Source organism: Homo sapiens, chromosome 7 (genome assembly GCF_000001405.40).
Source record: "Homo sapiens chromosome 7, GRCh38.p14 Primary Assembly".
NCBI lineage: Eukaryota > Metazoa > Chordata > Mammalia > Primates > Hominidae > Homo > Homo sapiens.
In genome coordinates, this window is record NC_000007.14 from 39,705,520 (window position 1) to 39,732,475 (window position 26,956).

Below are 26,956 nucleotides of genomic sequence, written 5' to 3' on the forward strand. Positions count from 1 at the left end.
TTAGTTACTATGCTAATATCTCATTATTTACCGGTTCCTAGACATCAGACAAAAACTGATAAATTCTCAAATACAGAGTAACAGACAAAGTTGTTTCATAGTGTCTGGTATCAAGATGATAAAGCATACACCCATCTTCCTCAGCTTCATTTCTAAAAATGGAACTGAGGAAACCAAGTTATGAAATATAATCAAATTATTAAATATAAATTTAAGCATATATTATTAAATATAAATTAATAAAATACATTTATTGATTATAAACTACTTAAATATAATCCATTGAGTTCTATCTTTGGGTCTGTCATCACCTTATAGAACTTTTTAGACTTTTGTCTCGAAAACTGGAACAGAAAGATCAGGTTTTATTACATATGAACATTTTTACCATAAAGTGTAATTCAGAAAACTTCCTAGTTTCCTCCTTTTTTCAAGATACTAGGAAAATCAGGCTTTAGTTTTATGCTTTCCGCTCTGTACTCCCAAACAAGAGCTCTTAAATATTTATACTTCTGTTACCCCCAAAGTTTACTGCTGTGATTTGGAGAAGTACCAAGTTCATGTATCTGTTTGCTTTATTTATCCTATTTTTTTTCTTTCTAGGTATTTTTTGATTTAATGAGAGAAATTCGAGCGAGAAAGATGGAAGACAGCAAAGAAAAGAATGGAAAAAAGAAGAGGAAAAGTTTAGCCAAGAGAATCAGAGAAAGATGCTGCATTTTATAATCAAAGCCCAAACTCCTTTCTTATCTTGACCATACTAATAAATATAATTTATAAGCATTGCCATTGAAGGCTTAATTGACTGAAATTACTTTAACATTTTGGAAATTGTTGTATATCACTAAAAGCATGAATTGGAACTGCAATGAAAGTCAAATTTACTTTAAAAAGAAATTAATATGGCTTCACCAAGAAGCAAAGTTCAACTTATTTCATAATTGCCTACATTTATCATGGTCCTGAATGTAGCGTGTAAGCTTGTGTTTCTTGGGCAGTCTTTCTTGAAATTGAAGAGGTGAAATGGGGGTGGGGAGTGGGAGGAAAGGTGACTTCCTCTGGTGTTTATTATAAAGCTTAAATTTTATATCATTTTAAAATGTCTTGGTCTTCTACTGCCTTGAAAAATGACAATTGTGAACATGATAGTTAAACTACCACTTTTTTTAACCATTATTATGCAAAATTTAGAAGAAAAGTTATTGGCATGGTTGTTGCATATAGTTAAACTGAGAGTAATTCATCTGTGAATCTGCTTTAATTACCTGGTGAGTAACTTAGAAAAGTGGTGTAAACTTGTACATGGAATTTTTTGAATATGCCTTAATTTAGAAACTGAAAAATATCTGGTTATATCATTCTGGGTGTGTTCTTACTGACACCAGGGGTCCGCTGCCCCATGTGTCCTGGTGAGAAAATATATGCCTGGCACAGCTTTTGTATAGAAAATTCTTGAGAAGTAACTGTCCGCTAGAAGTCTGTCCAAATTTAAAATGTGTGCCATATTCTGGTTCTTGAAAATAAGATTCCAGAGCTCTTTGATCGCTTTTAATAAACTGCAAGTTCATTTTAAATGAAGGGCCAGCATATATACTTGCAAGATAATTTTCAGCTGCAAGGATTCAGCACCAGTTATGTTTGAATGAACCCTCCTTTTCTCTGAGATTCTGGTCCCTGGAAATCCCTTTCTGCTAGTGGTGAGCATGTAAGTGTTAAGTTTTTAATCTGGGAGCAGGGCATAGGAAGAAAATGTCAGTAGTGCTAATGCATTTTGCACTAGAACGCTTCGGGAAAATATTCATGCTTGCCATCTGTTCATTTCTAAATTTATATTCATAAAGTTACAGTTTGATACAGGAATTATTAGGAGTAATTCTTTTCTGTTTCTGTTTATAATGAAGAACACTGTAGCTACATTTTCAGAAGTTAACATCAAGCCATCAAACCTGGGTATAGTGCAGAAAACGTGGCACACACTGACCACACATTAGGCTGTGTCACCATTGTGTGGTGTACCTGCTGGAAGAATTCTAGCATGCTACTTGGGGACATAATTTCAGTGGGAAATATGCCACTGACCGATTTTTTTTTTTTCCTCTTTGCAGTGGGGCTAGGACAGTTGATTCAACAAAGTATTTTTTTCTTTTTTCTCAGTCCTAATTTGAACAGGTCAAAGATGTGTTCAGGCATTCCAGGTAACAGGTGTGTATGTAAAGTTAAAAATAGGCTTTTTAGGAACTCACTCTTTAGATATTTACATCCAGCTTCTCATGTTAAATATTTGTCCTTAAAGGGTTTGAGATGTACATCTTTCATTTCGTATTTCTCATAGGCTATGCCATGTGCGGAATTCAAGTTACCAATGTAACACTGGCCAGCGGGCCCAGCAATCTCCATGTGTACTTATTACAGTCTTATTTAACCAGGGGTCCTAACCACTAACATTGTGACTTTGCTTTGAGACCTTTCCTCTCCTGGGTACTGAGGTGCTATGAAGCCAACTGACAAAGATGCATCACGTGTCTTAGGCTGATGCCACTACCCGATTTGTTTATTTGCAATTTGAGCCATTTAAAGACCAATAAACTTCCTTTTTTAAAATGTTTGTGGTGTTACTTGATGTTTACAATGTAACATGTAACATTCAAATGTATCAAATGAGGCATCTTTACCAAACAACTAAATCTTTTGAGCTCTCAGTTTGGAGACTTCTTTTGTGTAATGCCAGATTTCCTAAATAACAGTGTCAGCATTGCTCAGATTTAATCAAGGCTCAGAAATGGAAGGACTCGTGTACAACTACATTGAAGATATTCTATGCCGTCATGAAATGACAAATGTGTACATTACTTTTAGAATGCTCCAAACTCTAGAATGAATAGGTGACAGCTTTATATTCATTTTCTAATCAGAATGACCCCCAGAGACAATTTCCAAATTGTGGGAAGAATGACACCCTGTACCATTTCACCAAGCTTCAGGCCAACGTTTGATGTCTGGAGGGAAGCGTGGCCTATTAACTATCGAATAGCCTGCAAGTTAGAAACAATCCAGCCCAATATTGAGCACAACCTTTCAAAATCTGGTTCATTTTAATTTCGTAACTCATAAGCAGTGCTAGAATGAGCACATTTAAGTAATAATTGGCATAATTTTAAATCTCATTGTGTGTACAGATCCTTAACACCAATATGGAATATGATGTTAAATACTATGCGTCATAATCCCAGCATTTTGAGAGGCCAAGGCAGGAGGTTTGCTTGAGCCCAAGAGTTCGAGACCAGCCTGGACAACATAGCCCCATTTACAAAAAAATTAAAAAATCAGCTGGGCATGGTCTTGCTCACCTGAAGGAGTTAGAAAGTCATGTCCCAAAATTTTGTGAGAAGAACGTAAAAATTTGGCAACTTTATGTTACTACCTTAAGCTATCAAATCATTTACTAAAATTTCTGTAGAGGTTTCAGAGTAATCCAGTATCAGAAGTCTCCTTTAGGCGAAGTCTGTAATCCCAGCACTTTGGGAGGCCATAGTGGGCAGATTGCTTGAGCCCAAGAGTGAAGACTAGCCTGGGCAACATGGTGAGACCTCATGTCTACAAAAAAATCAAAAAATTAAGCAGGCACAGTGACGCGCGCCTGTAATCCCAGCTACCAGGGAGGCTGAGGGAGGAGGATCCACTGAGCCCAGGATTTCAAGGCAGCATTGAGCTATGAATAAGCCACTTCAGCCACTGGGGACAAAGTGAGACCCTATCTGTATTTAAAAAAAAAAAAAAAAAGCCTCCTTTGGTGTCTGAAGTCAAGAATGGCAAGTCAGTAGAGGTCTTTGTGCCTTTAGTATTCAATAGATTTTGATGGACTGCCTGCTCTGGGTTCGGCTGGGAATACGCAGGTGAAGGACAAACAGGCGTAAGGGACAATTGCAGAGATTCATACTGAAGAAAGTACCCCATGTATAAGGAGAGGAAGTGAAGTTTCAAAAAGATTAGAGGTTGTCTCATTCTCCTTATGCCGAACTAGGCCCCCTATTTCTTAATGATCGTCAATCCATATAATATTAGCAAACAGTACATCTGACATGCAAGATACTGTATTTTTATATATCTAAATTTAATACTTAACCCAATGAGGTAGATAGTGCCATTAATCCTTACTTTGCAGTTGTTGGAACTGAGGCATGGAGAATTTGAATAACTTCCCCAAGGCCACAGAACTGGTCATTATTAAGTGAGATTGGAAGCAAAGTAGTCTGGCTCTGAGTCCGTGCTCTTATTAATCACTGCACAGTGGAGAAGCAACAGAATGGAGCTCAGATTACAGTTAGTTATTGCCTATACTAAAGTGGGAAACACCCGAGATTTCCCCAGGGCTGCAGCCTCTTGAATGACTGAAAGCTTGCAGATGTTGCTGTGTGAATGGGAAAGAGGCTTCTTGTGCTTGCAGCCTGGTTGCTAAGAGGATCAAGAGCCAAGAGGCAAAACCTTGTGCAGAGCTCAGCTGTGGAGCCAGGGCTGACTCTGCTTTTTCCATAACATCAGTAAAGAGGCAGCATTCCTTTGGCAGCCCAGAGCTTTCCTCCCATATTTTTTTAACTGCAAAATCATTTCAGTCCTCTACTGTAGCAGTTCTGCATGCAGCTACTGTAGACAATACCTTGTGGGTGCACGGCAAATGGGCAGGAAGTGAGGTTTGGTCATCTATTCTCAATCAGGACCCAGGCACCATTGATGGGGCTGGGGACAGGGTGGAGGAACAGTTAACATCTGTTTAAGAGAGGATATGAGACACATGAAAACTTGCAAGGCTAATCTGATAGAAAAACTGTCAGATATCTGATAAAAGATTGCTTTCATCAAAAGCCCCAAGGAAAATAAACAGAAAAGCATTTAGGTGCTTGCAAGCATATAGTACTTAGAAAATACTCCTAAAGACAATTTTGGGGCTTGTTGAATTGGAAGCAGGTATTAGAGCTAACTTCTGAGCCTCTGCTGACAGGTAACTGGTCTATGAAGGAAGTGAAGTGGATTTCAGGTTATAGCCCTGAGAGCTGCATCATCACATGCCAGCTCTTTTATTTGTTTATGGACTGGTCTTTGTAAAGAATGCCAGATTCGGCTGGGTGCGGTGGCTCCCACCTGTAATCCCAGCACTTTGGGAGGCCAAAGCGAGTGGATCACCAAAAGTCAGGAGTTTGAGACCAGCCTAGCCACCATGGTGAAACCCTGTCTCTACTAAAATTACAAAAATTAGTCGGGCGCGGTGGTGCACACCTGTAATCCCAGCTACTTGGGAGCCTGAGGCAAGAGAATTGTTTGAACCTGGGAGGTGGAGGTTGGCTGTGAGCAGAGATTGCACCACTGCACTCCAGCCTGGGTGACAGAGTAAGACTGCATCTCAAACAACAACAACAAAAAAGAATGCCAGATTCAACGGATTCAATGGGTAGATATTTAGATGGTTTTCCTAGAATCCTAGAAGTTGGCCTAAAAGGCACCTTAGGAGCCATTCCCTCAGTTTATAGATCGGAAGAAAGATAATTTGCACAGGATCACCGAAGTAACATAAGAAGCAAAATTAGAATGCAGAGCTTCAATTAAAAAAGGAAAAAGAAAAAGTCATGGTGGTTCATGCCTATGGAGGGTGAGATGGGAGGATCACTTGAGCCCAGGAGTTTGAGACTAGCCTGGGCAACAAAGTGAGACCCCCATCAAAAAAAAAAAAAAAAGCATCTGTCATCTTTGTCTTTTTTTTTAGAGACAGGGTCTCATTCTGTTGCCCAGGCTGGAGTACAGTGGCATGATCATAGCTCACTGCAGCCTCGACCTCCTGGACTCTAGTGATCCTCCTACTTCAGCCTCCTGAGTAGCTGAGACTAGAGGCATAAGCCACCACATCCAGCCGAGTCATCAGTCTGCTAATTTCAAGCTCTTCCTATTTACCTTTCCAAGTTCTGGGTGGGGGCTGAGGGTGCTTTAAATGGAGACAGCACAATAGTCTGAGGGTTCTCAGAGTGTGATGAACTGAAATTCAAATTTGGCCTCCATCCTTTCTCATTTGCCTTGAGGAACTTCCTTGAACCCCAGGTTCTTCACTGTGAAACTCCTAGTCAGTGCTTAATTCCTAGGGTTATTGTGAGGATTTTACAAAAAAATAAGCTATTTTTAGTACAGGGTATATATATTTTAAATGCAGAGAAAAGTTCTCTCTGTGGCTGGCCCCCTATTCTCTGTAAAAGCAGTTTCTGTGTGACATTCTGCTTGGCACCAATTAAACCATTGACAATACCCCTGAAGTCCATGTTTTATGTTGGAAAGAAGAAACTGGGAGACTCTAGTTTAAGGAACCAGAGATTCAGGTTGCCACACCTTTGTATTCACTGAGTCTTAGCACTGAAAGTACCCTCAGATGGCAAGTCATGGGAACAAAGAAGTGAAGTCTGCAGAGACCAGGTGGCCTGTGCAAGGTCACAGCTAGAAAGACTTAATCTTGCACTGCTGGCTGAGTCTCTCGTGTTCTTTCTATCCCACTCTAGTATCTTTCATCAATATCTGGAGTTCCTGCCAGGAAGATGGGGATATGGAGCATAAGGACCCTAGAAGGAAGGACAGGTCAGAGATACCTGACTAGTTACAGAGAAGGCTCCTCTCTCAGCTTCACTGAAGGCCTGGAGCACCGGGGGAGTGGCAAACTCGAGAGACCATTAATGTGGGGATGAATATTCTCTTTGGCCCCTGATACGAAAGTTCTGACTTAGAAGAGGCCTTCAATACACTTTTACTCATTGACTGAGAGACTGGAGAGATTGAATCATTCAACGTTTTGACCCTAGATATATAGAGAGCACATGGTTAAGCACTGACGAAGAATTTCATTCTTGAAGAATTTTTTAGAGCAACCTGAGATACCGGCTCCAAGAGTTTGTGGGGTTTGATTTTCAGGCCCCATTGCATTGGATGTGAGCGAGGCTGCATTTTGGGAATTATGAGGTGGTTCACTGATTCAAACCACTAAACTAAAGCGGCCTGCCTTCACCTTGATTCTCTATTTTGGGGGTCAGCTTGCATCACCAAAGGCAAATCTTCTTGAGAGGGCCAATAGCATAAGTGGAGCATGGAGGTGAAGGTGCACAGACACCTGCATATCACATCACATCTTGTGTCTCTCTTATCCTGCCCCCAGCACATCACACTCCCACAGTCCCAGAGAGAAAATACTGTCTCAGGAAAGTGATAGTAAATGAGAATGATAATACATGATGAAATCAGCAAAACACATTGTGAAGCCTATGTGACAGTTGTATTTATTCTGAGACATATTAACATCAAGAGCTTGTATCAACACAGAATTTTTAAACAATAGAAAAAGGAAAACAGGAAAATGCTGAGCAGCAGCTGCAGCCTCTGGTGAAAAGGCTGGCCAGTAGCATATCTAGGTAATCCCCCTGTCCCACTACATATCTGCCAAAGAGAGAAGGAAACATTAGATTCCGGGAAATTGGCAACTGCTTTGTAAGTTTGCTCCACTGCTGGGAGGAGGCTTCAGATGAAGCACTGTCCTTATTCAAAGGTCAATAACCATTTCCAAGAGAGAAGCCACAAACCTTCTGACAAGTTATCATGACAAATGAGCCTTAAAAGGACAGCTAGTGATTGTCAGGGTATGCAGGGCTCAGCAGGTGATATATTTTGGATATCTGTCCCCACTCAAATCTCATGTTGAATTGAAATCCCCAATGCTGGAGGTGGGCCCTGGTGGGAGGTGTTTGGGTCATGGCAGGAGGTGGATCCCTCATGGCTTGGTGCTGTCTTCATGATGGTGAGTTCTCATGAAATCTGGTCATTAAAAAGTGTGTGGTACCTCCCCCTCCATCTCACTTGCTCCTGCTTTCACCATGTGACATGTCCGCCCCCTTTTCTGCCATGATTGTAAGCTTCCTGAGGCCTCCCAAGAAGCTGAGCTGATGTTGGCGCCATGCTTCCTGTATAGCCTGCAGAACCATGAGCCAATTAAACCTCTTTTCTTTATAGATTACTTAGTTTCAGGTATTTCTTTATAGCAATGCAAGAACAGACTAATACAGAAAATTGGTACCAGGAGGGGGTATTGCTATAAGGAGACCTGAAAATGTGGGAGCAACTTTAGAATTGGGTAACGGGCCAAGGTTGGAAGAGTTTGGAGGGCTCAGAAAACAGGAAGATGAGGGAAAGTTTGGAACTTCTTAGAGATGGGTTAAATGATTGTGACCAAAATGGTGATAGTGATATGGAAAATGAAGTCCAGGCTTCTGAGGTCTTAGATGGAAATGGCAAACTTATTGGGAACTGGAGGAAAGGTCATGCATGTTACACCTTAGCAAAGAGCTTGGCTACATTGTGTCCATGCTCTAAGGGTCTTTGGAAGTTTGAACTAAAGTGTGATGATTGATTTAGGGTATCTGGTGGAATAAATTTCTAAGCAGAAAAGCATTTGAGATATGGCCTGGCTGCTTCTAACACCCTATGCTCAAATGCAGGAGCAAAGAAATGACTTAAAGGTGGAATTTATATTCATTTTTTAATAAACCTTATTAATTTTTTTGAGACAGGGTCTCCCTCTGTCACCCAGGTTGGAGTGCAATGGCATGATCTTGGCTCACTGCAACCTCCGCCTCCTGAGTTCAAGCAATTCTCCTGCCTTTGCCTGCTCACTGGTTGGGAATATAGACATGCACCACCACACCCCGCTAACGTTTTTTGTTTTTGTTTTTTAGTAGATACAGGGTTTTGCCATGTTGCCCAGTCTGGTCTCAAACTCCTAGACTCAAGAGATCCATCTGCCTCGGCCACCCAAAGTGTTGGAATTACAGGCATAAGCAGCTGGAATTTATATTTAAAAGGGAAGCAGAGCATAAAAATTTGGAAAATTTGCAGCCTGGCCATGTAGCAGAGGAAGAAAAAGCTTTTCTAGGAGAGGAATTCAAGCAGGTTGTGGAGCAACCATTTGCTAGAGAAATTTGCAAAACTAAAAGGGAGGCAAGTGCTGATAACCAAAACAATGGGGAAAAGGCCTCAAAGGCATTTCAGAGAACTTTGTGGCAGCCCCTCCCATCATAGGCCCAGAGGCCAAGGAGGAAAGAATGGTTTCATGGGCCAGACCCAGGGCCCTGCTGTCCTACATAGCTTGGGACATTGCTCCCTGCATCCTGGCCATTCCAGCTCCAGCCAGGGCACAAAGGGGCCCAGGTACAGCTTGAGCTGCCACTTGGGAGAATGTAAGCCTTAAGCCTTGATGACTTCCACTTGGTGTTAAGCCTGCAGGCACACAGAATGCAAAAGTGAAGGAGGCTTGGGAGCCTCTGCCTAGATTTCAGTATGGAAAAGCCTGGGTGTCCAGGCAGAAGCCTGCTACAGGGGTGGAGCCCTCAGAAAGAACTTCTATTTAGGGTAGTACCAAGGGAAAATGTGGGGTTGGAGCCCCCACATAGATTCCCCACTGGGACACCTTCTAGTGGAGCTGTGAGAAGGGACCACCCACCCTCCAGATCGGAGAATGGTAGATAGACCAGCAGCTTGCATCCTGCACTTGGAAAAGCCACAGGCACTCAAAAGACTGTGAGAGCAGTCTTTTTAAGATAAATACAGGACTCCAAAAATAGTGTGGTGAGCTGCAAAATAGCCCCCCAAAGATGTCCATGTCCTAATTCCCAGAACCTGTGGATATGTTATTATCTTATATGGCAAAAGGGACTTTGCAGGTGTGATTAAGTTAAGGATTTTGAGATGAGATGACTATCCCGGATTATCTCGGTGGGTCCAGTGTAATCTTAAGGGTCCTTCTAAGATGGAGGCAGGAGAGTAAGAGTCAGAGAGTCAGAGAAGGAGATGGGAAGATGCAAGCAGAGAATGAGGGTTGTGACGCCAGGAGCCCAGGAATGCAGGCAGCCTCTAGAAGTGGGAAATGCCAAAAAGCAGATTCCCCACTAGAGCCTCCAGAAGGAACACATGCAGCTCTGCTGACACCTTGATTTTAGCTCCATAAAACCCATTTTGGGCTTCTGATCTTCAGGACTGTAAGATAAGTCTGTGCTGTTTCAAGTCACTAAATTTGAGATAATTTGTCATATCAGCAACAGGAAACTAATGCACAAGACTCACTGGGCCTTGCAAGCTCTCCCCATCTTATGCTGTGCTCCCTTCCCCTGGCACTCCATGTTTCAGCCACACTCATTTCTTGTATCCCTTCCCAATTCAGAGCCTTTGCACATGCTAGTCCCACTGCTGGAAAACCTCTTTCACATTCCTCTTTGTCAAGCATAGCAAACAACATTGGTTCCTACCCCAAATTTATTCCTCCACCACCCATTTTCCTTTCTGGTACAGCCCAGTTTTGTTCAGGAATCCATTCTTTTCTGTATGAAAAGAGGCTGAAGGCTCAATTCTAGCTCCAGGGAGTAAATCATGTTTGATTGGTCTAAGCAAATAGGATGATTCCATTACCCTTGCCATCGATTGGACTAGGCATCATGTGATTCTAGCCAATAAGACTTGGGATGCTGTCTCAAGACTTCATGGGAAGATTTTCTGCTAAATGTAGATGCACAGGGAGTAGTGGCTCCTCTTCTGTTGGTCACGTTTGTCTCTGCACATAACATCTGGAACTGTGAAAGCCATTTTTGCAATATGAGGGGAAATGAGCCAACACTGACAATAGCAAGAGGAAGATGAAGGGGACGTGGGTTTTTGTCGTTGTTGTTGTTTGTTTATTTTAATTATTGACAAGATCTTGCTCTGTCAACCATGCTGGAGTGCAGTAATGCAATCATAGCTCAGTGCTGCCTCAAACTCCTGGGTAAAGTGATCCTCTCACCTCAGCCTCTCAACTAGCTGGGACTATAGGCACATGCCACCATGCCTGGCTAATTTTTAAAATATTTGTAGAGATGAGGTCTTGCTACATTGTCCAGGCTGGTCTGAAGCTCCTTGCCTTAAGCAATCCTCCCACCTCAGCCTCCCAAGGGACCTGTGTTCTTGATGACATTGTTGAACTACTGAGTTGTCCAATGTTGAAGTTTCTTTATTTCTGGGCATCTTATATGGGATGATCCATTTTCCTTATTGTTGAGTCAACTAAGTTACGGTTTTCAATACTTGAAGCCAAAAGCATCCTAACTGATAAACAAGGTTAATTCCTTCTCATCCTTCAGACTGAAGCTTCTTATCCCTCAGGCTGATTGTTACTTTCTAAGGGAGGCCTCCCTGAGCTGCCTAACTAATCGAGTCCCCACCTGTTAACTCTACATATCCTCCTATGCAACACTTAGGAGCAATTGTACATTTACGGGCACAACTATTTAATTAATGATTGAGGGTTCCCCTGAACTCTGAGTTCAATGATTTGGCAACCATATCTGCTTTTACACACCATCATGTCCCCAGGACATGTATTTTACATCATCATGTATTTGTTGGAGTGAGTGGCGTTGTTGCAGAGATAAGACTGTGAACAGGACACAGTTCCTGCCCACCAGGACACTTCAGGAGAAAGAGAGGCAGACTCTGTGAACAGTGTAAAACAACATAGGAAGTGTCATTGAAGATGACAGAAAGAAGAAAGAAATGCAAGTCACTAAGCCATTAACTTTCATTGAGCAGTGTTAACATTTTAACTTTTTATTATGGAAAATTTTGGATCCATTCCTAAGAGTAGAGAGAATAGGCTAGGCTTGGTGGTTCATGCCTGTAATCCCAATGCTTTGGGAAGCTGAGGGGGCAGGATCACTTCAGGCCAGAAGTTTGAGACCAGCCTAGGTAACATAGTGAGAACTCTGTCTTTAAAAGAAACAAAATTGGCCAGGCGCGGTGGCTCATGCCTGTAATCCTAGCAATTTGGGAGGCCAAGGCAGGTGGATTGCCTGAGCTCAGGAGTTCGAGACCAGCCTGGGCAACAACAGTGAAACCCTGTCTCTACTAAAATACCAAAAATTAGTTGGGTGTGGCAGCATGAACCTGTAGTCCCAGCTACTCAGGAGGCTGAGGCAGAAGAATCGCTTGAACCCAGGAGATGGAGGTTGCAGTAAGCCGAGCTCGCACCACTGCACTCTAGCCTGGGCATCAAAGCGAGACTCTGTCTCCAAAAAAAAAAAAAAAGAAACAAAATTAAAATTAAAAATAGGGCTGGGCATGGTGGGTCATACCTGTAATCCCAGCACTTTGAGAGGCTGTGGTGGGAGGATGTCTTGAGCCAGGGAGGATGGCTTGAGCCCAGGAGTTTGAGACCAGCCTGGGCAAGATGATGAGACACTGTCTGTATAAAAAATTATAAAATTAATTATCTATGACCTGGGTAGCAGACATATTCAGTGGGTGAATATCCCTGAGGTCATAGAGTCAATTGCACATGGCTTGCATATGAAGTGAATCAGCTGCCTCATCTGGGGTGTCCATTGGCCTTTATAGGTGAAGTTAAACAGTTTCCCTTCCCAGGGTAAACAGACCTCACAGTGGCTTTTATCCAGTGCACCAGGCTGGCTGTTCCCTCAGGCATAACCTCCTGTGTGTCCAGATCATATATACCCATCTGTGACTGTTCAATAGTGAGCTATGGGTCCTGCATCAACCCAAACATGCTCTTCCACTCTCAGCATTTAAAACCAAAGATACTGCTCCTGAATTAGTTATTCTCATAATCCATTTTTGTAAAGATGCCTTAGGAAGCTGATGATACCAATCCACAAAATGAAACAATTCCTTCACAGTATTCCCTCTGGCTTCAGTCGTTACTTGGTTTCGTCCTTCTCCCACGTTGAATACCTTCTTGGTAACCACAGTTCTTAGAGGTACTTTTTGTTGTCCTGGCATAATGTTCCCACTTGTGGGTAGCATTGAGGCTAGTGGCCTGAGCTCAGACCTACATCTGAGCTTGGTCCAGCCTCAAGACCCAACTTCACACTCTCTTTTACTTTCTTTTTTTTTGAGACAGAGTCTCACTCTGTTGCCCAGGCCGGAGTGCAATGGCGCGATCTCAGCTCACTGCAAGCTCCGCCTCCCAGGTTCATTCCATTCTCCTTCCTCAGCCTCCTGAGTAGCTGGGACCACAGCCACCCGCCACTACGCCTGGCTAATTTTTTTTTTTTTTTTTTTTTGTATTTTTTAGTGGAGACGGGGTTTCACCCTGTTAGCCAGCATGGTCTCAATCTCCTGATCTCATGATCTGCCCGCCTCGGCCTCCCAAAGGGCTGGGATTACAGGTGTGAGCCATCGTGCCCAGCCTCTTTTACTATCATTTTAGCTATTATAGATAACAGTAGCCAAGAGATTGAATATTTTATTTTTTTCTTATTAGTTTGCATTTCCTTATGCCTCCAGTGACCCAACTCCCTGGGAGTTGGATACATCTTTAAATTCCACTGGAAACATTTACCTTATTGATGAAAAAAGACAAACTCTAAAATTTTTAATATTCTGAGCCAAATATGAGTGGCCATGGCCCAAGGCAAAGTCTCAAGAGGTCCTGAGAACATGTGCCCAAGGTGGTTGAGTTATGGCTGGATTTTATACAATTTAGGGGGACATAAGACATCAACTGATACCTCATATACATGCCTTAATTCTGTCTTGAAAGGCAGGACAACTTGAAGCTGGAGAAGTGGGGAAGGGGGCTTTCAGGTTATAGATGGATTCAAAGATTTTCTGATTGGCAATTAGTTGAAAGAGTTATTACCTAAAAACCTGGACTCAATAGAAAGAAGTGTCTAGGTTAAGATAAGGGGTTGTGGAGACCAAGGTTCCTATTATATAGATGAAGTCTCATAGGTAGCGACCTTAGAGATAATAGATGGCAAATGTTTCCTATGTAGACCTTTAAAAGATGCTAGACTTTCAGTGAGTCTCTTCAGGATTGGGAGCACCTGGAATGGGAAAGCTCTAGCTATGTTAATAGAGACTCTTTACATACGCAAAATTTCCCCACACACAAAGAGGCTTTGAGGGTCATTTCAAAATATGTCAAAGAAATATATTTTGGATTTTCTTCAGGTCCTGCTGTCATGTGATGCTATATTAGCACTGGTTTGAACTTTGGTATCTTATTGCTACAAACTGTCTGTTTTGACAGTCTTAAGATCTCTGTTTTAATGTTAATGCTGGTCAATTGTGCCTGAATTCTAAAGGGAGGAGAGTATAATGAGGCATGTCTGTATTGGCAGTAAGAATCCGATGGGTCTGCAGCAAACTTGATTCTTGCTTCCTCAAAGGAAAGAATTCAGCAAAGGGGCATAAGGCAGAGTGAGAGAATAAGGCAAGTTTAGGGCAGGAGTGAGAGTTTATTAAAAAGCTTTAGAGCAAGAACAAAAGGAAGCAAATTACACTTGGAAGAAGGCCAAGCAGGTGACTTGAGAGATCTAAGTGCCCCATCCAATCCTTGAATTTTCTTTTCTTTTTTTTTTTGAGATGGAGTCTCGCTCTGTCACCAGGCTGGAGTGCAGTGGTGCAATCTTGGCTCACTGCCACCTCTGCCTCTCAGGTTCAAGCAATTCTCCTGCCTCAGCCTCCCGAGTAGCTGGGACTACAGGCGCATGCCACCAGGCCCAGCTAACTTATATATTTTTAGTACAGATGGGGTTTCACCATGTTGGCCAGGATGGTCTCGATCTCTTGACCTTGTGATCCACCCACTTCAGCCTCCCAAAGTGCTGGGATTACAGGTGTGAGCCACCACTCCTGGCCAAATAGGGGTTTTATACACTGGCATGGTTCCAGGGTTTGTGTTTCCTCTCCCTTGATTCTTTCCTTGCGGGGGCTGTCCAAACACACAGTGGCCTGTCAGCACTTGAGAGGGGCCACATGAGCAGTGTGTTTACTGAAGTTGTGCGATGTGCTCATCTGAGGCATTTTTTCCCCACACCAGTCAAATGTTCCTAGAAGAAGGTCATACACCAGTGAAACTCTGCCATTTTGCCCCTTAGTGTGCATGATTAAGCCTGCTTGCCCAAATCCTCAGATCTTTTTGGGAAGCTGCTGATCACCAGCTTCAGGTGTTTTTCATCTATTGGGAGACTACCAATTATTATTTTAGGCAGTTTAACAACCACCTTCACCTGATGGTTGCCTAACATTGCTGGCAATTGGGCAGGGGAAACCTCCTCTCCTGCCCTTCTCATGTCTGCCTAGCTGCCTACTCTAACATCAGCACCCTCATTCCTGTCATGGCCTAAACTAGTTTTTCAGGTTTTAGGTGTGATCTCCTTAGCCAAGAGGGAGTAGGCCCATTCAGTCGGTCACGGGGCTTAGAATTTTATTTTCGGTTTACACTCTCAACACAGCTGCCGCCTCATACATGGGTGACCACGTGGCCACCCAGGAATCAAAGGTTTCTCACCACTGCCCCACCCCCCGCCCACCCTTTTTTTTCTTTCTTTTCCCAAACCACGTTTCTGTGGTCAGGGCCTTTCCAGCAAATCCCAATTCACTGACACAAATTATGTCAGGAAAAACTCTCTCAAACCGCATTTTTCCTCTACTCTTACACCACAACAATAATCATCTATATAGAAGAAGACTTCTGTGACAAAATTTTAGGAGTTTCTCCCTACTATCAAGCAGGGGTCACCAGCTGGTTGTCCTCCAATTCAAGTCTGACACTATCTGGAGATAGCATCAGATTCCACTGGTTAAATACTCTGTCCCCAAGACTACCCTTGCTCCACAGACATCAACCACAAACCTGGGCCTCCAGAACTTCTGACCACTGGGTTTGGGTCGGGGTTCCCACAACCTCCTCTTTGGGTTTAATTAATTTGCTGGAGCAGCTCACAGAACTCAGGAAACACATTTATCAGCTTATTATAAAGGATATTACAAAGCATACAGATGAAGAGGTACATAGGGCAAGGTGTGGGGGAACGGGCTAAGGGATCCCATGCCCTCCCTGGGGCACCGCCCTCCAGGAACCTCCACATTTTCAGCTATTTGGAAACTCCTGAACCCAATTATCTTGAGTTTCTATGGAAGCTTCAGGAAGTCAGCATTCCTTCCCCCAGGGTATGAGGCAGGATCCTCTCAGAGGAGGGTCATAAGACCCACAATCAGAAAGTTGGGAAGATTAGAGTCCTGCCTTGGGACAGGTGAAAGGAGGGCAGGCAAGAGATTCTGTTTCCTGAGGCCTAACACACCCAACATTATAACAAGAGACTATAAAAGGCTATGGGCCAGGAACCACGGATAAAAACCTATATATATATAAAATAACACCACAGGAAGAGAGAAATATAACTCTGTTTGCAGATGACATAATGCTGTGTACAGAAAATCCTAAAGAATCCATTAAAAATTAATTGAACTCATAAACTAGTTCAGTATGATTGCAGAGTAGAAGAAGATCAATATACAAAAGTCAATTCCATTTCTATTCACCAGCTATAAACAACCCAACAAAAGTGATTTTTAAAACATAATAATTCTGAAGTGGCTACGTTGTCTGGGTTACATACCCTAGGGTTCGTCGTCTCATGCCAGGGAAATTTAGGACCAGACACACACCAGGAGTTTAGGAACGGAGGTTTAATAGGCAGAAGAGAAGATAAAGAAAAACAACTCTTTCTACATATGGAGAGGGGTCTTCTGAGCAGAAAAGACTGGCTGGCGCAAATGTACCTTATTTTATAGTCCGGCTTGAGGAGGCGGTGTCTGATTTACATAGGGCTCACAGATTGGTTTGATCAGGTATGACATTTACATAGTGTGGGGCGGAGGGTGGGGGTGGGGGCGGTGGAGAGCGGGGGAAGGCTGGTTGCCCCACTCTAATCTTATTATGCAGATGAATTCTCCTTGGACTGCGCCATCTTGTCTGCTCCTTACTGTACGCGTGTCTGGCTGAGAAGGGAAGATGGAGCCTCCACCTTGAACATGTCTAGTCCCCAGTTCCTGCCAGCATTCACCCCTGCAAGCTCCCAGCTTGCTTGTCTATGTCTGCAGCTCAGCTTTACCGGCTGCTCTTTGATAGAAAATGATTTGGGCTGCTTTTCATTAAAGAGAAAAGCCTTGTCGAGGACTCCCATACCCTTACTATCTGCGTAAGTGATTTCTTCTTAAGTCGTATTATCAATTCCACTTATAATTGTTTCAAAAGAATAAAATACCTAGGAATAAATTTAACAAAAGAATTGGAAAACTTGGCCAGGCGCAGTGGCTCACACCCAGCACTTTGGGAGGCCAAGGAGGTTGGATCACGACGACAGGAGTTCAAGACCAGCCTGGCCAACATGGTGAAACCCTGTCTCTACTAAAAATACAAAAACTAGCTGGGGGTGGTGGGGTGCACCTGTAATCCCAGCTACTCAGGAGGCCAAGGCAGGAGAATGGCTTGAACCCAGGAGGTGGAGGTTGTAGTGAGCTGAGATTGTGCCACTGCACTCCAGCCTGGGTGACAGAGCAAGACTCTGTCTCAAAAAAAGAAAAAAAGAATTGGAAAACTTATAGCCTGAAAATTACAAAAATTTGCTGAAAGAAATTACAGAAGACTTACATAAATAGAAAACATACTGGTTTGGAAGAATTAATACAGTATTGCTAAGATAGCAATACTCCCCTAAATGATCTACATATTTAATGGAATTCTTATCAAAACTCTGCTAATTTTTTCAAGAAAACTGACAAGCTGATTCTAAAATTCATATGGAAATTCAGGGGATCCAGAACAGTCAAAACAATCTTAGAAAAGAACAAAGTTGGAGCAGTCACACCTCATGATTTCAAAACTTATTACAAAGCTAGAGTAATCACGACTGTGTGGTACTGACATAAGAATAGACAAATAGATCAATGAAATAGACTTGAAAGTCTAGAAACAAACCCTTACATTTATGGTCAATTGATTTTTGACAAGGGTGCCAAAATAATTCAAAAGGGGAAGAAAGTCTTTTTAACAAAATGGCGCTGGGACAACTGAATATCCACATGCAAATAAAATTGAACTTCTTCCTCAAACTATACGTGAAAAATATAAACCAAAAATAAAATTCTGAGCCCCCCCAATCAACTGATGGACCCCCTCTCAGCCAAGGGCATTCCAATGTAAACTTGAACATCTAGTTAAGGTCACGATGGGAAGGAGGGGTCCAGGATGCCTCATTGTACCTCCCTCCCTTTGGAATTCAGAACAGTTGACCAACATTAACATTAAAACAGAGTTCTTAAGACTGACAAGGCTGGGTGCGGTGGCTCATGCCTGTAATCCCAGCACTTTGGGAGGCCGAGGCAGGTGGATTGCCTGAGGTTGGGAGTTCGAGACCAGCTTGACCAACATGGAGAAACCCCGTCTCTACTAAAAATACAAAAAAAAAAAAAAAACTAACTGGGCATGGTGGTGCACGCTGGGAGGCGGAGGTTGCAGTGAGCTGATTAGCCAGGCCTGGTGGCACATGCCTGTAATCCCAGCTACTCGGGAGGCTGAGGCAAAAGAATCCCTTGAACCCGGGAGGCGGAGGTTGCGGTGAGTCAAGATCGTGTGCAGTTGCATTCCAGCCTGGGCAACAAGAGTGAAACTCCATCTCAAAAAAAAAAAAGACTGACAAAACAGACTCTTTTGGGCTGGGTGTAATGGCTCATGCCTGTAATCCCATCACTTTGGGAGGCTGAAGTGAGCAGATCACTTGATGTCAGGAATTCAAGACCAATCTGGCCAACATGATGAAATCCCAGCTCTACTAAAAATACAAAAAGTAGTCAAGTGTGGTGGCTTACAACTGTAATCCCAGCACTTTGGGAGGCCAAGGCAGGTGGACCACTTGATGTCAGGAGTTTGAGACCAACCTGGCCAACATGGTGAAATCCCGTCTCTACTAAAAATTCAAAAATTAGCCGAGTGTGGTGGCAGGCGCCTGTAATCCCAGCTACTCGGGAGGCTGCAGCAGGAGAATTGCTTGAACCGAAAGGCGGAGGTTGCAGTGAGTGGAGATCGTACCACTGCACTCCAGCCTGGGTGACAGAGCAAGACTCTGTCTCATAAACAGAAGCCAAAACAAAATTAAAAACTTGTGTTCTTCAAGGGATACCATGAAGAAAGCATAAAGACAACTCATGGAATGGAAAAAAATATTTTCAAACTGTGTATCTGATAAAGGACTTATATCTAGCATATATTAAAAAAACTCTTACAACTCAATAATAAAAAGACTAATAAATCGATTTTAAAATGGGCAAAGAATCTGAATATTTCTCCAAAGAATATAGGCAAATGGCTAATAAGCAAATGAAAAGACCCTCAACATCATTAGTCATTAGTGAAATTGCAAATTAAAACCACAGCGAGCTCCTACTTCACACCGAGTAGGATGGCTATAATTAGGACAGATGGCTCTTGATTATAGCCATCCTATAATCAAGGCTCATGCCTGTAATCCCAGCACTTTGGGAGGCCAAGGCAAAAGGATTGCTTGCGAGACCAGCCTGGGCAACATAATGAGATCGCATCTCTACAAAAAAATTAAAAATTAGCCAGGTGTCGGGGCATGCTCCTATAGTCCCAGCTACTCAGGAGGCTGAGGCGGGAGGATCATTTGAACCTAGGATGCTGAGGCTGTAGTGAGCCATGCACACGCCACTGCACTCCATCCTAGGCAACAGAGCAAGACCCTGTCTCAAAAAAAAAAAAAATAGATGATAATAAGTGTTGATAAGGTTGTGGAGAAATTGGAACCCTCATACGCTGCTGGTGGGATGGTAAAATAGTACAGCTTTTGGAAAATAGTTTGACAGTTCCTGAAAAAGTTAAACATAGAGTTGTCATATGATCTGGCATTCCACTTCCACGTGTATACCTGAGAGAAATGAAAACACTGTGTCCACACAAAAGCTCGTATGCAAATGTTCATAGTAGCATAATTCATAACAGCCAACAAATGGAAACATCCAAATGTTCATCAGCTGACAAATAGGTAAACAAAATATGATCTATCCATTGGATTATTATTCAGCTATAAAAAATAATGAGGTACGTGTTGCAACATACATGAACTTGGAAAACATTATAGTAAGTGAAAGAAGCCAGTCACAAAAGACCACATGTTGTGTAATTCTATTTATATGAAATGTCCAGAATAGTCAAATCTATAGGTACAGAAAGCAAATTAAGAGTTCAGCACACAGTCAAAAAATAAATAAAAAAGAAAGTGGATCAGTGGTTGCCTAAGATTGAGAGTTTGGGAGAAATAGGGAGTGACTGCTAATGGGTATAAGGCTTCCTTTTTCAGTGATGAAAAAGTCCTAAAATTGATTGTGGTGATCGTTGCATGACTCTTTTAATAGATTAAAAACCATTGAATTGTACACTTTTAATGGAGGAATTACATGTTATATTAATTATATCTCAATAAAGCTGTTATATTTAAAGATTGCATCCTGAATGATTCCATTTATATAACATTGTCTATGTAGAGATGGAGAAAAAAGATAAGTGGTTTCCAGGGGAGGGGTGAGGAGTGAAGGAGTAGGTGTGAGTATAAAGTAGCAGGAGAGAGGTCTTTTGCAGTGACAGAACAGTTCTGCATCTTAATTGTGGTGGTGGTTACACAAATTTCTACATGGGATAAAATTGCATTGAAGAATATACATACACACAAAATGCATGAAGGATTTTTTTAATGGTGAAATAAAAGCTGTAGTCTAAAACAGTAACGTGCCAATGCAAATTTCCCAGCTTTGATATTGCACTATGCCCATGGAAGGCATCACTATGCAGGGAAAGGACTCTGTACTAATTTTGTAATTTTCTCTGAGTTTATAATTATTTCCAATAGAAAGTTTGAGATAAAATAAAATTAGAGTTGTCCAAAACTGACATGCTCTCTTCCCTGAAACGGTGATTTCTCCATTTGCTGGAGTTTAAAATAGAAGCTGGGTGATTCTACATCTGAGATGCTTAAAAAAAAATGTGATTAGAGGCCTGGCAAGTGGAAAAGCTTTTTTAGAGCAAAATCCAGGAGCCACTGCTATTCAAGCTGACCCCCTCCTGCACTTCCTAGGCCTGAGAATGTCACCCGGGATGTAGAACTCCCTGCAGTGCCTGGAAGGACCAGGCTGCCCTCAGGGTTGCAGGTGACCCAAAGCTCTTTAGCTTCCTAGGCTGACTTGATAAGCTCCTTCTAGTCATTATCTGGGCAAGCTCATCTCTGGCCTCACTTTGATGCCAAGCCCTTCCCTAGCACATACACAAGGGGGCTGGGCTCAATGGGTGCAGAAAAGGCTGTTTCTGGACACATCTTTGATAAGAAACCAAGTGACTTCCATCTCCATGAGCCATTTGAGGATAGAGACTGAGTATCACTTTAAAATTTCCCATTGTCTAGTACCTTGTCTAATACAAGGGAAATGGCTATTGAGTGAGGACCTCTTAAAGATCTCTCTAAATCCCAATAGGTCTCAACTCCAGCTGCACATTAGAGCTTTAAAAAAAGTTTAGTAGCGTCAGTTCCACACCACACCAGTTAAATTCATTTTTTGTTTTTATTTTTCTTGCTTCTTCTTTTATAGCATCTTCAATGCCATTCTTATATCAGGTTCAATGAAAAGTTTCTGAGAGATATTTCTCTTCATTTTTCATTTTATTTTATTTTTAGTTGACAATAATAACCATATATATTTATGGGGTACAATGTGACGTTTCAATATATGTATGTTGTGCAGTAATCAAATCAGGCTTATTAGCATATCCATCACCTCAGATACTCATCTTTTCTTTGTGATGAGAACATTTAAAATCCATTCTTTTGGCTATTTTGAAATATACAATACATTGTCTGTAGTCACCATGCTGTAGATAATTAGGTTAGGGTTAGGATTAAGGTTGTAGAATAGATTACCAGAACCTAGTCTTCCTGTCTAACTGAAATGTATCCTTTGACCAACATCCCCTTTTCCCACCCACATTCCCCACTACTCCCACTGGCCCAGCCTCTGGCAACTACCATTCTACTTTCTACTTCTTTGAGTTCAACTTTTTTAGATTCCACCTATAAATGAGATCATTTGGTATTTGTCTCTCTGTGCCTGGCTTATTTCTCTTGGGTCCTTTTAGGCCCATTCATGCTGTTACAGAAGACAGAATTTCCTGCTGTTTAAAGGCTGAGTAGTATTCCATTACGTATATTTGCCCCCTTTAAAAAATCCATTCACCCATTGATGGGCACTTTTGTTGTTGCCGTATCTTAGTTATTGTGAGTAACACAGCAATGGACATGGGAGTGCAGGCTTCTCATTGGCACACTGATTTCAGTTCCTTTGGAAATATACCCAGAAGTGGGATTGCTGCATCATATGGTAATTCTATTTTTAGTTTTTTGAGGAACCTCCATGGTTTTTGAAATGGCTGTACTAATTTACATTCCCACCAACAGTGTACAAGGGTTCCCTTTTCTCCACATCCTCACCAATGAGGGATACTTCTTAAGATGACCCTCAGTAAGTCCGGTAGTTATCATTCATAAGCATTCAGTTAAATATGATGTCAATACATTTTCAGCTTTGGGCTCATCTAAGCTTCCACAAATTAATTTCATCTATTTTAATACATGCACATGGTAAACAGAAGCCAAAAATACCAAAAGATACGCAGTGAAAAGGGGTCTCCTTCCCACCTCGTCTCCCTGAGGCGACTGTTTGTACCTGCATCTTCTGTTTCCTCCCGGACATCATCTCTGCATCCACACACCCCGTGTACTTACACAGAAATGCATTTTAGAACATAGAACCCTGTGTGTGCTTTGATGTGTTAGTAAGTGGTTCGGGGAGTTGGGGAGTAAATTTTGGAAATATAGTACTCTATCCATCTCACAGTGAATATTAGCATATTAAAAGCTCCAAGTGTTTCTCAAACTTACTTGAACACAGAATCTTTTGGGGGGAAAGTTTCTTGAAGACTTTTCATGTTTTCTGTATTGGCATTTTCTGATACTACATCTAGGTGAATGCTCATGTGGCAGGATCATTTGATAAACTAGCCAATGTGTCTTCACCCCGGTCATTCCTGGTCCCTATGACCTTTCCCCTATTGGGCATCCACTACAGCACTCCGGGCTCCCGGTCCCAGGGAAAGAGGGGCACAGAAACGCAAAAATGTCCATTCTGAATTTCTGGTTTTCAAAGTACATCTTTGAGACAACAAAAGGAGACAAAGGTTTTTTTGTTTTGTTTTGTTTTGTTTTTTGAGACGGAAGCTCACTCTGTCACCCAGGCTGGAGTGCAGTGGCGCGATCTTGGCTCACTGCAAACTTTGCCTCCCGGGTTCAAGCGATTCTCCTGCCTCAGCCTCCAGAGTAGCTGGGAATACAGACGCATGCCACCATGCCCAGCTAACTTTTTTTTTTTTTTTTTGTATTTTTAGTAGAGACGGGGTTTCACCATGTTGGCCAAGCTGATCTTCAACTCCTGACCTCAAAAGATCCGCCGGCCTTGGCCTCCCAAAGTGCTGAGATTACAGGCATGAGCCACAGCAGCCAGCAGAGACAAAGGTTTGAATGTCAACCGTCAAAGCCCCAAGGAACTCAGGGCAGGCAGTTTATGGCAGAATTAATAGTTTTGGATGAATGCAAGAGAATACTTTTTTTTCCGGCTCTAGATAAGAGATTAAGAATCTCTGAATTGAGTGAAGGGAGAAAAAAAAAGCCAGAAAAGAAGTCCCAGATTAGGCACTGGTGAGTGTCTCTGAGGAGAATGCATGATAGAATCCCCAAATAAATCTGAAGATCTAAAACCAAAAGCACCTGTGCTCTATTCCCCTTGGTAACTCCAAGGAGAAATCAAACCTCATTAATAAGCTCCAAGTCTGAGATAGCATGAAGTATGTGTGCTACAACTGGGTTCTGCAAGGGATAGAAACTCCATAATAAGGGATTTATACACTTATAAGTTTATTTTTATTTGTAGTAAAAGGCCAGGCACAGTGGCTCATGCCTGTAATCCCAACACTTTGGGAGGCTAAGATGGGAGGATTGCTTAAGGCCAGGAGTTCAAGAACAGTCAACATAGCAAGACTCTGTCTCTACAAAATAAAAATAAAATTAGCCAGGCATGGTGGTTCACACCTGTAGTCGCAGTTACTTGGGAGGCCAAGAAGGTGGGAGGATGGCTTGAGCCCAAAAGTTCAAAGCTGCAGTGAGCCATGATCACACCATTGCACTCCAGCCTGGGCAGCAGGGCAAGATCTTGTCTCTAAAACAAAAACAAAAAAAAGTCCGGGCGCGGTGGCTCACGCCTGCAATCCCAGCACTTTGGGAGGCCAAAGCGGACAGATCACTTGAGGTCAGGAGTTCAAGACCAGCCTGGTCAACATGCTGAAACCCCACCTCTACTAAAAATACAAAAATTAGCCAGGCATGGTGGGGCACGCCTGTAGTCCCAGCTCCTTGGGAGGCTGAGGCAGGAGACTCGCTTGAGCCCTGGAGGCAGAGGTTGCAGGAAGCCGAGATCGTGCCACTGCACTCCAGCCTGGGCAACAGAGGGAAACTCCGTCTCAAAAAAAAAAAAAAAAGCAAAAGTCCAGGTAGGTTTCCCAGGGCTGGCTGGAAAGGTGTTCTACACTGTTGAGAGCCCAGGCTTTTCTCTGCCTTGTGTGGCCTCGACATCATAATTCAAGATGGTAGCATCCATGTTCTGGGCAGCAGGATGGAGAGAGAGACAAAGAAAGAGCAAAGGGAACACACATGCTGTTTCCTATGAAATGTTTTTGGAGCTCCTATGTATTTCCATCACAATGTTTGACCAGAAGTTAGTCACTTGTTAGAGTTTGAATTGTGTCCCTCAAAAAGATAGTTGAAGTCCCAGCCACTGGTACCTGTGAATGTCACCTTATTTGGAAAGAGGATCTTTGCCAATGTAATCAAGTTAAATTGAGGTCACTGCTGGGTGTAGTGGCGTGCATCAGTAATCCCAACTACTTAGGAGGCTGAAATGGAAGGATTGCCTGACCCCAGGAGTTTGAGACCTGTTCAGGCAACATAGCAAGACTGTCATTTCAAACAAACAAAAAAGACGAGATCAGCAGGGCGCGGTGGCTCACGCCTGTAATCCCAGCACTTTGGGAGGCCGAAGCAGGCGGATCACGAGGTCAAGAGATAGAGACCATCCTGGCCAAGATGGTGAAACCCCGTCTGTACTAAAAATACAAAAATTAGCCAGGCATGGTGGCAGGCGCCTGTAGTCCCAGCTACTCGGGAGGCTGAGGCAGGAGAATCACTTGAACCTGGGAGGTGGAGGTTGCAGTGAGCCAAGATCATGCCACTGCACTCCAGCCTGGGCAACTGAGCGAGACTCCATCTCAAAAAAAAAAAAAAAAAAGACGAGGTCATTAAGGTGGGCCCTAATTCAATATGATGGATGTCCTTATAGGATGAGGAAAAGAGGCCCAGAGGGAAAAGATGCCATGGGATGCTAGAGGCAGGGGTTGGAGTGATGTGTCTATAAGGCAAGGAATGCCAAGGGTTGCTGGCAAACACCAGAAGCCAGAAGAGGCAACAAAGGACTCACCTCTCAGGTTTCAGAGAGAGCACAGCCCTGCTTTTGGACTTTTAGCCTCCATAGCTGTGAGACAATCAATTTCTGTTGTTTTAAGTCACTCGATTCACAGTGCTTGGGTAGAGCAGCCCTCGGAGGTTAACACACCTGGCCACACCTGGGTGCAAGAGAGGCCAGGAAATACAGATATTATTCAGGGCAGCTGTGTGAGATTCTGTTATCATAGAAGAAGAAGAGAACAGAAAGTGGGGAATAAGTGGAGCGTCTGCCACAGGCGTTGAGGCCAGCAGGCTTGAGAACATCTCACTAAGTCCCAAAGAACTCAACAACTTACTTACCCAGAAAGCAGTAGAATGACCTCTGCAAGTGGCCAAGGCAGTGCAGACATGGCACTAAGAATCAGTGGATCTGGCTAGGCCTGTGTTCAGGACAAAGTGGACAATAGGGAGCTGTTAAGGTTCTTGAGTGGGACATGACATGAGGAAAGATCTGTCTCACCCATTGAAGACTACCTTGCCCATGACGCTATTACCACACTCAGCACAGGGTGTAAGACTCAGCAGACCCAGATCATGAAGGACTTGAATGGCAGGCTTAAGAGTCATTGGAGGGTGGGAATGCCTGCTATGAGATGTCCCTCATGTACTATCCGAGAGGACCCTGGGTCAAGGTCATGCCAAGAGGCAAGGCCAGCAGCAGACCTTTCTCTCTTCCTTCAGTCCATGTGTTATATCGATGAGCCAAAGGTGGCCTCTGTGTGTGGGTCCCTAGGTTGTTAATTTCTTCACCATGGGCTGAGACCTGTTAGCTCAAAAGCCTGCCAGTGCCACATTCAAATTTCTACACATCCAGTTATTTTTTAAAATGGTCCAAAGAAGCATATTTTTAGCCACTTAGAGGCTGCCTGCTTTGCATACCCTGCAAAACCTCACACACATTTGCTAGCAATAGATACGACATAGCTTTGTAGTTATAAGACCCCAAGCTGCTGCTTCCCTTTGGAGACTCCCTGCCATGCTGCTGAGGGACATCACCTAGACAGGGAAGCCCCCTCTCTGGTCACCCTCTCCCCCAGGAGATGCCTTAAACTCTCCCATTCTGGAAGATGGCTCCCCCATCTTAAAGCTGTGGATGGTCTCACGCTATGAGGAACTTCCCCTCTTATGCATCCCTATCCAAGCACTGCCCAGTAAAGCTTCTGTGTGCCTGCCTCTAGTGTTTCTATCTTTTTTCTTGATCAGCCTCCAAACGCCTGAAACCCTGAGACCTTGTAAGTCTCAAGCCCATGTACTCCTTCCTGGGGACGAGAGATTAGGATACACCACTTCCAGCCCAGCCCCGTTCTTTCTGGAGGAATCCTTGAAGCAGAAACTGAAGGTGAAGAGAACATACAGAGAGGATGGGACAGGATGGACACCAAGCTGGGGCCTCAGGAGGCGGCCCAAAGACCTCAGCCCCGAGCACTGCAAAGGAG

At 43.1% G+C, this 26,956-nt stretch overlaps 1 protein-coding gene across 3 annotated transcripts in view, besides 4 other annotated features; it reads left to right on the forward strand.

The window, feature by feature from the left end:
- The window catches only part of RALA (RAS like proto-oncogene A), an 84,549-nt gene extending 81,948 nt beyond the window's left edge, over nucleotides 1-2,601 (forward strand). For all 3 annotated transcript variants that reach the window (XM_047420682.1, NM_005402.4, XM_047420681.1), the window contains one exon: nucleotides 604-2,601. In XM_047420682.1, the coding sequence (XP_047276638.1) occupies nucleotides 604-726 (123 nt within the window). In that variant the 3' untranslated portion in view covers nucleotides 727-2,601. The remainder of the gene's footprint in view (nucleotides 1-603) is intronic.
- Nucleotides 4,734-4,783: an enhancer, noted in NCBI's record as "active region_25880". NCBI's record gives its function as "activates an Ori minimal core promoter by ATAC-STARR-seq in GM12878 lymphoblastoid cells {active_cell/tissue: GM12878}" and the evidence as "EXISTENCE:reporter gene assay evidence [ECO:0000049][PMID:35858748]".
- Nucleotides 16,775-17,276: an enhancer, noted in NCBI's record as "H3K27ac hESC enhancer chr7:39761893-39762394 (GRCh37/hg19 assembly coordinates)". NCBI's record gives its function as "activates a minimal SCP1, AML or CMV promoter by ChIP-STARR-seq in primed H9 embryonic stem cells {active_cell/tissue: H9 hESC(primed)}" and the evidence as "EXISTENCE:reporter gene assay evidence [ECO:0000049][PMID:30033119]".
- Nucleotides 17,850-18,412: an enhancer, noted in NCBI's record as "OCT4-NANOG-H3K27ac hESC enhancer chr7:39762968-39763530 (GRCh37/hg19 assembly coordinates)". NCBI's record gives its function as "activates a minimal SCP1, AML or CMV promoter by ChIP-STARR-seq in primed H9 embryonic stem cells {active_cell/tissue: H9 hESC(primed)}" and the evidence as "EXISTENCE:reporter gene assay evidence [ECO:0000049][PMID:30033119]".
- Nucleotides 18,413-18,973: an enhancer, noted in NCBI's record as "H3K27ac hESC enhancer chr7:39763531-39764091 (GRCh37/hg19 assembly coordinates)". NCBI's record gives its function as "activates a minimal SCP1, AML or CMV promoter by ChIP-STARR-seq in naive H9 embryonic stem cells {active_cell/tissue: H9 hESC(naive)}" and the evidence as "EXISTENCE:reporter gene assay evidence [ECO:0000049][PMID:30033119]".